General features: G+C 46.7%; 1 long non-coding RNA gene across 1 annotated transcript; it reads left to right on the forward strand.

The window, feature by feature from the left end:
- Positions 1-1,474: 1,474 nt before the first annotated feature.
- Positions 1,475-5,098, forward strand: LOC105379451 (uncharacterized). The gene is made up of 5 exons (XR_950691.2): positions 1,475-1,563; positions 2,555-2,851; positions 4,015-4,129; positions 4,481-4,688; positions 4,909-5,098. It is a non-coding gene; the product is annotated as an uncharacterized LOC105379451 (long non-coding RNA).
- The last annotated feature ends 6,464 nt before the right edge of the window (positions 5,099-11,562 follow it).

The raw sequence follows: 11,562 nt of genomic DNA on the forward strand, positions 1-11,562 counted from the left end.
TCACAAAGGCCAGGAATGGAAGGGCCAAGAATCCAGGGAGAAGGGAAATGCGTTGAATTGGGTCAGCGTTCTCCCTGCACGTATTTGCTGCTTGTTCAGTATTGAAGGTCAGAGAGACCGAGCAGAATGCTTAGAAACTGTTGACAGTTTCCTAGGTCTGGGGAGATAAAAGTGGAGTTCAGGGCTATAGAGGCAGTGAGCGAAGGCTGGAGGCGCTCAGATCCTCCCGCGGGGAAGGGGTTCTGAGCTGCATCCTAAGGCACTCACCGTTGTCAGTCCGACGAAACTGCTGGAGAGAAGGTGAGGACAAGAGTTCTGAGGGTATTAACTGTGGCCCAAGAAAACTCACCAAGATCCTGGGGAAATCAGAACCTCCAAACAAGGAGGGCAGGCCCCGGGCCTCTGGTGTTGCAGTGGTGGGGGTCCCATGTGGGTACAAGGACAGCTGAACGGACCCGCTCTGTAGCCTCTCGGGCACAGGGTATGGTGAAATACACACCTCCCCATGGCACAGTGAACCCTGAGAGCACTATTTCTAGTCCCTAACGTCCACTCACCGCTGCATGGTTTGGGCTTTCACCTGACCACCTGTCCCTACAGCCTGCCTTTGCTCTCTGCCTTCTCCACCCTCTCCCCATAGCATTCCTTTCCCTGGCTTCCTTCCTCTGGGTTCAGGAGTCGCTGAAAGGCCTGGAATCCCACAAAGGGTCAATATCGTTGTGCCCACTTCAGGCAGGAAGAGATCCATGTTCGCTCCCCACATGATGATAGAAACAAAATCTGTCGGCTGGGCACGGTGGCTCACCCCTGTAATCCCAGCACTTTGGGAGGCCGAGGCGAGCGGATCACGAGATCAGGAGATCGAGACCATCCTGGCTAACATGGTGAAACCCCGTCTCTACTAAAAATTACAAAAAATTAGCCGGGCGTGGTGGCGGGCACCTGTAGTCCCAGCTACTCAGGAGGCTGAGGCAGGAGAATGGCCTGAACCCGGGAGGCGGAGCTTGCAGTGAGCCGAGATCGCGCCACTGCACTCCAGCCTGGGAGACAGAGGGAGACTCCCTCCCAAAAAGGAAAAAAAAAGAAAGTCTGTCAGGAGGAGAATTCTGTCCCCTCTGAATGAGGGGAGCCTGGCAGGACCCTCTGCTGAACAGATGCCCAGGGCTTTCTAACCGCAGGCGTCTGTAGCAGGGTGGGAGCGTGTAGGTGCTTCGGGAGCACCCGAAGCAGCTACAAAGGCCCTGGCTGGTGGCTGGTGAGAGAATCCTACAACATCCAGGTGTCCTGAGCGAGGGTGTGCAGGCTGCGGGGAGGGAGCTATGAGTGTTGCTGAGGCCAACCTGGAATGTCTTCTTTGTGAGCACAGACTCCCACCTGGCGGTCCCCCAGGTGCCTGGCTGTCTGTTGGGAAGCCGTTCTCTGCCCCTCGCCCCACCCCCACCTCACCAGTTAGGAAACCTGGCAGGAATCTCCCCACGGATCCCTTCACACCTGCTTGGAAGGTTGGGGAGCAGGATGCTGACCCCTTTGTGTGGTTCCAGGCTATAATAGCTAATTAACCTGGTAAATAACAATTAATCTAGTGAACCTAAATTTGAATACCCTTTATATGAGTTTTCTTTTAATGTGTAGTATTTATCAAAAGAAATAATCTTCTTTAAATTGAACTGTGTGGGGTATCTGATATTTGTGCATACACACACACAAACACACACACACACATATATTGCATGTTCCATGGTACAGCATAGTACAGGAAACCAGGTGAATGGAGGGTCTGCTCTCAGCTGATGACTGGCAGACCAGCCACTGAGGAAGTGAGCAGGGCTGCCGGAGAGCCTGGGAAAGCACTGCATATGGGGAGGGGCGGGGAGGGAGAGGGCAAGGGAGGCTTTAGGGACAGGTGGCAGGAGATGGGGTGGGTGATGTGCGTGGAGTTTCCATCCACCTCTACCTATGAGCAAGAGCAGCCAGGAGAATGCCACACATGCCCCATGTCCTGGGCCTTGTGTGAATAACTCTGGATTCTGCTTCTCTGTAGGTTTTTTTTTCTCAGTTGAGTTTCTCACTAATTCTCTACTGTATTAGTCCATTTTCACACTGCTAATAAAGACATACCTGAGACTGGGCAATTTACAAAAGAAAGAGGTTTAATGGACTTATAGTTACAAGTGGCTGAGGAGGCCTTACAATCAGGGTGGAAGTCAAGGAGGAGCAAGTCATGTCTTACATGGATGGCAGCAGGCAGAGAGAGAGAGAGTTTATGGAGGGAAAATCCTCCTTATAAAGTCATCAGATCTCATGAAACTTTTTCACAATCACAAGAACAGCATGGGAAAGACCTGCCCCCATGATTCAATTACCTCCCACTGTGTGCCTCCCGCAACATGTGGGAATTCAAAATAAGATTTGGGTGGGACGAAGCCAAACCATATCATCTACCCCCACAGAAAAAGATGCATGAGGAAGGGAATCTCAGGAACAAGGAATTGATTCCAGTGTGAAACTTCCTCCTAGATGCACATGCAAAATCTTTAGTTTTGTGTTTCTTCAGGACACAGCTTGGGATCATCTGTGATGTCCTCCTTTCCCCGGCAAAGCGGATAATGCTGCCATGGGGCCAGGCCTGCCCTCATGCAGCTAGGGGTCACATCTGCCTGCACACAGCATGGGAGAGTGTGGAGGAGGAGGGACAGGACCCTATTTCCAGACAATTGTCTAACAGGAAGAGGATCATAAAATCCTAAGATTGGCTAATCAACCTCCCTGTTCTACAGATGAAGAAACTCACACTCCCAGGACAAGTGACCTCTCAGGACCACACAGAAAGAGAGTTGATGTAATAATTGTAGTAAGTGTTAGAACTAGCCAACTCTGATTATGGGCTGACTCATTTCATAGCACCTTATATAAATTATGCCTTTTAAATCTAGAAATTGGGTTCTGCTGTCATTATTCAGAATTTTAAAATGACAAAACTGAAGCCAAGTGAGATGAAATAATTTGCCTAATTTTCTGAACTCAGAAGTGGCAGAGCTGAGCGTTCCACCCAGGCAGCCTCGGCACTTTCAGCTTAGGGACCCAGCCATGTATTCAGTGCACCAGCACGCAAAGCCTGCCATTCCTGAAGGCTGTTTTTGAAAATGTGCAGGTTACTTCCTTGAGACCCACATTTGGCAGACCTGACCCTTCTCACCATAGTGTAATCAATGTTCAGCCCCCTTCTCCAATTTAAAGTGACAATTAGTAGGCTCTGTGAAGAATGAGGCATTTTCAGATGTTTTTGGAGAGAGGGGTCGTGATGCACTTATCTGGAGATTACTTGTCTAGGAAACTAACTACTGAAGTGCATGCAAATGAAACTGTTGCAGACACAACAAAACAGTATACAGTCAACAGCTAGACTATACTCAGCAAAGCGCAATAAAAATCCAGTACACTTAGATTTGCCTAAACTTTAAATGAGTTTTCTTTGAGTACCTAGTATTTATCCAAGGGAATTGTTTTTAAACTTAAATGTGTATACGTATCTTGTGTTTGTGTGCACACACACACAAACACCCCCCCACACACACATATTCCATGTTCCATAGTATAGTATAGGAAACAAGGGAACACATCAGCTTTTGCCATCTTCATGACAAGCCAGGAATTAAAACTAAGTAAATTAAATACTAATGAAATATAATCCTTTAATTTCTAAGCAAACATTACTTTGACTTTAATTTAATCAACAAGATTATTTAACGTTCATTGAAAAATCCATATTCCTGCGTTTATACTCATGAAGCTTAACCAATTACAGAAGAATACAATACAAATAGTTTCTAAATGGACATAGAATTTAAATTCAGATTTTAATGAACTAACTTCTGGACATTGTAGAGTAGATAATGTAGTCAGAATTTTGCAAACGTTGGAGTGTATACTTAGTAATGGAGTTGATTAATAAATGTAAATGCAGTAAGATTGAGAATGGAATAGATTAAAACTTTATTTTATTCTTCTTGCCAGCTCTGTGGCTACATGGGTGTGAACCAGAACGAGGCAGAAGGGATCTATTTTTCTATTTAGTGCCAATGAGCCCCCATGGATCTATGCAGGGGCAGGGTGCTTTGTGCAGATGAAGGTAAAATCCCTCCCTGAGAGCAGGTCTGTGCTCAGGGGTGTTGGCTTCTCCATTCACAAGCGTCAGGTGGAGCTTGGGTGGAAACCACCTTGATTCTTCAGGGCAGCTGCTCTGGTTTGTTCCAGTTTTAGAGTTAGATTGTTTCCTTTAAGAGCCCTCTACCTCACAGTAACAGACTCTGGTATGGATTTGCATTAGTTGTTTATTTTGTTTTGTTTTTGCCCAAGTAAGAAATTGCACATTTTTCCTTGCACTCTAAAGTCAAAAAGCCGAAGTGGGAATCATTATAAATGCAACATCTGAGTTTCTGTTATAGCTCCTTGTTCTTGGAAATGTTTCATTTGCATCAAGGTCGTGCCAGACATGGTAATGAAGGCCCTGAACAGAGGGAGAACCATCAGGGACTGCTGTGTGAGCAAAGCGTGGACTTTCATCCTGAAAAATGAGTGCATCCGTAACAACATCCTCAAACATAGACGGCTCTGATTAGCGCTCCAGGAGCCCTCTCTCTAAAAACATCTGAAAATGCCTCCTTCTTCCCGGGGCTCACACGAATGGGGTAAGTCTCACGAAGGAGGGGCCTTGGTGCTCAGGAGGTGAAGCGTGCGCCGTTCTCCAGGTGTGCACGTGGGTCCGAGGAATCAGGAGCTCAGGCCGCACAGCCCCGCTGCTGCCGATCACTGCTCACAGCCCCTGAGCCCTGCTCAGAGGCAGCAGCATTTCCTACAAGGGGCAAGGTGCGGCAGTCACCAGGACACCCTGGCTCTTATTTGCAACAGCTGCTGCATTACCTAATAGCCACCCATGGCTTCACGAGGAGGGATGCTCACAGCCCCCTGCAGAGCAGCCGCCTTGTTCCAGCGCCACAGGGAAGCGTCTGCCTTGACTTCCACCCACGCAGTGTCCGCTTCCACACAATCACCCTGAACGGCAAAGGCTAAACACTTTGGTAATCCAAAACAGTAAACCCCAATTGTGCTACTCATAGTCCAATTTCTAAAATTTTACACTACAGCTGTTGAAAAATTCTAATGTTTATTTCACTGCCAGAATCAGCAGGGTAATGGATGTTTCAGCAATAAACATCATGAGCAACACATGAAATCTAATTAGCATCATTCCAATTTGCAACAGTTAAATAAATTATTACTCTGGGCTTTCTCCCCCCTAGATACCAATGCTTAGATTCCTGTAAAAATGTCAACTCTAGAAAAATCCTCTTTCCACTTCCAATTTTTTCTAATTCAATCTGTTTTCTAGTATTTCTTTAGAAACAAACTAATGAAATTCTCTATCACCCAGCTGTATTTACAACAGAGTAAGCTTTGTGACACCCTATACATGGAGTTTGCACAGCAGCAGTATCCATGGGAAAAAATAGTGGGACTGTGTCCCAGTGATCACAGACGAAGGATGCCAGGACACTCTGTCAAAGGAAACTCAGACCTCCACATAGGATGCTTGACTCAGGTCCCAGGTACTGTCACCATGACTGTCCCCCACAATTTTCCCAGGAGGGAGGCACGAGTAGGAGAGAACAGCCCCTGTGATGTCAGGGCCAACCTGTCTCCAGCCTCCGTTCTGCTAAGTGACTCTAGAAGTTCCTCTCCCATCTCTGGCCCAACTGACCATGTGTCGGATGCCTGGGAAAAGGGAACACAGACTTGATGATGATTCCTGGTTCCGAGCTCATGTCACTGTGCTCCCAGGCTGTTGACACAAGCAGGAGCCCTGGGTTTCTTGGATTCTAGCACATAGTTAATAACACAAACCCTGACAGCCTAGGTTTGAGCTGGGGTTGGTTAGGGGTGGGCGGTGGTAGGGGAATAACTTGGGAAAGTTATTTAACCTGCCTGGGTCTAAATTTCCTTGTCGCAAAGTAGGGAAAATAGTTGTACTTACATGGCACGTCTGTGATGTGAATTAAATGTCTGGCACCTAGAACAGTGCCTGGCCCCCAGGATTTGGTGTGTAAAGAGTCCAGGTATTGGTACGAGTCCATGTCAACTGTCTTCGCTGATCCCCAAACCCAGCTGCACCCATTAGTAACTAAAATGAGGCGGGCAAAGGGGATGAGTGGTGAGTGGCAGTGATTGCTAAAGATAGGTCCAGAGACTATATTTCTTAAGACATTCTGGGTCAGGAATAATTACATATAATCCAGCCAATAATTCCAAATCTATGTATTTATTTAATAAGCTTTTATTTAGGGCACGAAGGTGTCAAATTTTGTCCCAGGCACTTTACATATATTTAATCATTTAGTCTCCTCACAACCCATGAGAAATAACCATACTGTACTATCATTATCTACAAAGAAACATGAAGTAAGACCCTAGAGAGAGCCTCCAGCAAAAGGACATCTGTGGTCATCATACATTTTTCAAAAAAAGTTCAATGACAAAAAACCAGTTTTATAAAGTGTATGTTGAACTGTGATAAACTAGCAGTGCATTTAAGAGTGAAACACTGGCGTTAAAAATGAAAGCATCCTTGGAAAACAATCCAGCCCACCTTTTTGTCTCTGTTTTGGTACAATTGTGTTTTTTGTAAACTTCACAGCAAACAACAATATTTTTACCTTTGCATCCTTCTGTCCTCCCTGAAAGCTAACTCTCTAGAGGGAGAGAAAACAATATGGGGTTTGATGCAAGGCAGTGCCTAGCGCCAGGGCAGAGGGATGCACATGCCTTATAGGAGCCCTTAGGGGCAGCGGGCGGGGCAGCAGCACAGACGCATACTTGGCGCTGTTCAGAAGGAGGGATGTTCCAGGTGCTGGGCGAAGCAGAGGAGGCGCAGCCGTGGGGCAGGGCACAGTGAGGCTGGGCATGTGGTGGCCCATGGGCACCTTGGTAAACCTGCTTGGGGGCTTCTGAGCCTCCACTTGTTGAAAAACAGAAGAAAGCCAAGGGTTAAGCCAGTAGAGGAAGGAACCACAAAGGTGTTTTTGCATGGTTAAAACAAGGAGATGGTCGAAGTATGATTTCATGGATCTGTGGTTTATCCACATGCAAAGAGAATTTTTTTCTTAGGTTCAGAACACTAAAAGAAGATAACATTGTGAACAAATCTCCCAGGGAATCCACTCGAGAGATGAGGCACACTGACCACAGATGAGTGAGGTCCTCAATTATTAAAGTCTAGTTGCTCCATTAGGATGAAAGTCTCTGTGGGAAGTAACTTCTAATTAAAGCTGGAGGTGTTCCTTTATACTAGCAGTTCTTGAGGGAAACTGGGTTGGCCATCACAGTGGAGACTAGAGAAGGCTGGGGTGGTCCCTGGATACTAGAGGGAAGTTGGGGAGAAGTGGTGGACAGTGCAGCCCTGTCACAGCACAAGCTCCTGGTCATTGGAGAATGGCTGACAGAGGAAACCCTGCCATGACCTAAGCTCTTAAAGTGTCTGTCAAACTCTTAGGTTTATTAGACTTGAAGTCCAGTAGTCAAGCTCAGTAACTCATACCGGGTCTGATAAGCTGTGATGTCACATTCCCGAGGGGAGGAGAAGTAGCTCCAAGTTCTCATGTATGGGGTCTGATAAGACACCTTGTTCTCCAAGGGAGGGGAAAATACACTCCCAGTCCTTACTAAAGCAAGGCATATGTTGTCCAAAGGACCACCAGAATGGCTTGAGAGTAGAAAAAAGAGTTTTATCAGCAATATCAGTTTGCAAACCAGGGAGAGATCATCTCTGGTGAGAACCAACAGAGCTCTTGAGAGGTGAAGCCAGCTGGACTTCCTGGGTTGCGTGGGGACTTGGAGAACTTTTCTGTCTTACAAGAGGATTGTAAAACGCACCAATCAGTGCTCTGTAGCTAGGATTGTAAAACGCACCAATCAGCGCTCTGTGGCTAGCTAGAGGTGTCTAAAATGGACCAATCAGCACACTGTAAAATGGACCAATCTGTGCTCTGTAAAATGGACCAATCAGTGCTCTGTAAAATGGGCCAATCAACAGGACATGGGCGGGGACAAATAAGAGAATAAAAGCTGGTCACCCTAGCCAGCAGTGGCAACCTGATTAGGTCCCCATCCACACTGTGGAAGCTTTGGTCTTTCGCTTTTCACAGTAAATCTTGCTGCTGCTCATTCTTTGGGTCCGTGCCATCTTTAAGAGCTGTAACACTAGGCTGGGCACAGTGGCTCATGCCTGTAATCCCACCACTTTGGGAGGCTGAGGCAGGCGGATCACGACGTCAGGAGATTGAGACCATCCTGGCTAACACTGTGAAACCCCATCTCTACCAAAAATACAAAAAATTAGCCAGATGTGGTGGTGGGCACCTGTAGTCCCAGCTACTTGGGAGGCTGAGCAGGAGAATGGTGTGAACCTGGGAGGTAGAGCTTGCAGTGAGCCGAGATCACGCCAGATCACGCCACTGCACTCCAGCTTGGGCAACAGAGCAAGACTCCATCTCAAAAAAAAAAAAAAAAAACTAACACTCACCAGGAAGGTCCGCACCTTCATTCTTGAAGTCAGCGAAATGACGAACCCACCAGAAGGAACCAACTCCGGACACATCTTGGAGACCACGAAGGGACTATCGCCAAGTGGTGAGTACCACTGGAACCCTTTTGCTTGCTATTCTGTCCTATGTTTCCTTACAATTTGGGGGCTAAACACCAGGCACCTGTTGGCCAGTTAAAAGCGACTAGCACAGCCACCAGACTAAAGACACAGGTGTCAGGCTTTCTGGGAAAGGGCTCTCTAACAATCTCTGACTCTTCAGAGCTGGGAGCATTGGTTTGCCTGGAACCAGCTTCCGCTTTCCCTGTACTTCTGGGCTGAGCTGAGGGTCGATAGAGAGGAAAGCCATTCAGCTCCGGGGTCCCAACAAAAAGTTGGCTGACCCTGCAGCCATGAGCGGAACTCTGAAAGGCATGTCGCCCAAGCAAGACTCACCCATCTACCCTATCTATCCTGACCCTTGTCTCCTGGGTCCTAACACCTGTCAGACAAACTTCCTCCTGTCTCTCTTCTCCGAGGCTAGTCCTGCTTCTAAAAACCACTCCCTGTCTCTGGTGCTTTTCTAGATTCTCCTATAAGAATGATTTCTAGTATAAATTTTGGGACTCTGTTCCTTTCTTTAGGCACCCAGGCTCACCAATCAGAAAGATATAATCTTTGCCCAAAGTCTTGTTGTGGGGTGGGGGACTATCTGGGATTTTAGGATCCCTCCTCAGACTAGCAGGCCTAACAAAGGTGATTCCCGAAGCTAGGATATGGGTAGCCTCAGAAATTATATCCTTCCTATTCATATGATAAGTGAGGACAAAATGTGTTACTCTTCCAACCTGGGAGATTCCTTCCCTCCTTCAGGGTATAGCCCTCCACTCTGTTTTGGGGGCATATCATCTTTATAGGACAGGGGTAAAGTCCCAATACTAACAGGAGAAAACTCTTAGGACTCTAACAGGTTTTCGAGAATGCATCGGTAAGGGCCACTAAATCTGACATTTCTCGGTCCTCTTTGTGGTATAGGAGGAAAACTAGTGTTTCTGCTGCTGCTTCGGTGAGCGCAACTATTCTGGTCAGCAGGGTCCAGGGACCGTTTTGGGTTACGGGGCAGGGCTTTCGCTCTTCACAATAAATCTTGCAGCTGCTCACTCTTTGGGTCCATGCCACCTTTAATAGCTGTAAAACTCACCGTGAAGGTCCATGGCTTCATTCTTGAAGTCAGCGAGACCACAAACCCACTGGAAGGAACCAACCCTGAACACACTCTCTCTGAAGAACGAAGAGAAGGTTAGAGGTTTTATAAAAAGGAGAAATCTTATGTATTCCTCTTTGAGTAAGTTCATTGGCACTAGGAAGGGTTTGGGGAGCTGGCAAGCTCTGAATAATGAGCAAAGGTGGTGCGAAAAAGTAGTCACAGAATTGTAGCAAGTTATCTCAGAAGCTATGGATAAAACTGGTCTCAAAAGCAGTTCCAGTAGTCAGGCTTGCAGAGATTACATTCTTGGAGCAACATTTTGTAACATGAGTGCTTTATCTCCTGGCTTCTCAACTCTGTTTTAGTTGGATGTGATAAGAATCACATGCACATGTATATTTATTGCAGCACTATTTACAATAGCAAAGACTTGGAACCAACCCAAATGCCCATCAATGATAGACTGGATAAAGAAAATGTGGCACAAATACACCATGGAATACTATGCAGCCATAAAAAAATGGGTTCATGTGCTTTGCAGGGACATGGATGAAGCTGGAAGCCATCATTCTCAGCAAACTAACAGAGGAACAGAAAACCATGCTCTCACTCATAAGTGGGAGTTGAACAATGAGAACACATGGACACAGGGAGGGGAACATCACACACCAGGGCCTGTCCGGGGGTAAGGGAAAAAGGGAGGGAGAGCATTAGGACAAATACCTAATGCATGCAGGGCTTAAAACCTAGATGATGTGTTGGTAGGCGCAGCAAACCACCATGGGACATATAAGAAACCTGCACATTCTGCACATGTATACCAGAAGTTAAAGTAAAATTTAAAAAAGAAAAAGCTAGAAACTGATCTCAGGGCATCTAGAAACAAACAGACAAAAAAAGAATAACCCAATTTGTACAATCAACCTTCACACATGTATCATTCAGGTAGCAAACTATGTAAATGTTTGGAGTAATTTCATAGCTGCATAACCAAAGTAGAGCAGGAGGGCCCAGAAGGGCAGAAGACAGGAACAGGCAGGGACATGCCCAGGCAAAGCCCTGTGGCAGCTTAACAAGAGTTGGGGAACTGAATCCATGTGTGATACGCCTCAAGGAGAAACACTTTCTTTCTTTCTTTTCTTCTCTTTTTCTTTTCTTTTCTTTGTTGAGGCAGAGTCTCACTCTGTAGCCCAGACTGAAGTGCAGTGGTGAGATCACAGCTTACTGCAACCTCTGCTTCCTGGGTTCAAGCGATTTCCCTGCCTCAGCCTCCTGAGTAGCTGGGATTGCAGGCACACACCACCATTCCCGGCTAATTTTTTTTTTTTTTTTTTTTTTTTTTTTTTTTTTTTTTGAGACAGAGTCTTGCTCTGTCACCCAGCCTAGAGTGCAGTCACGTGACTTTGGCTCACTGCAACCTCCACCTCCTGGGTTCACGCCATTCTCCTACCTCAGCCTCCCAAGTAGCTGGGACTACAGGCACCCACCACCACACCTGGCTAATTTTTTCTATTTTTAGTAGAGATGGGGTTTCACTGTGTTAGCCAGGATGGTCTTGATCTCCTGACCTCGTGATCCGCCCGCCTCGGCCTCCCAAAGTGCTGGGATTACAGTCTTGAGCCACCGTGCCCAGCCGAAAATCTTCTTTATTAAAGTAGCTGTGTTAGTCTGTTGGGCCGCCTTAACAAACTACCAGAGACTGAGTGACTTAAACATCAGGAATTTATTCTCACATGATTCTGGAGGCCAGAAGTCTGAGACCATGATTTCAGCAAGGATG

Source organism: Homo sapiens, chromosome 9 (assembly GCF_000001405.40).
Source record: "Homo sapiens chromosome 9, GRCh38.p14 Primary Assembly".
Lineage (NCBI taxonomy): Eukaryota > Metazoa > Chordata > Mammalia > Primates > Hominidae > Homo > Homo sapiens.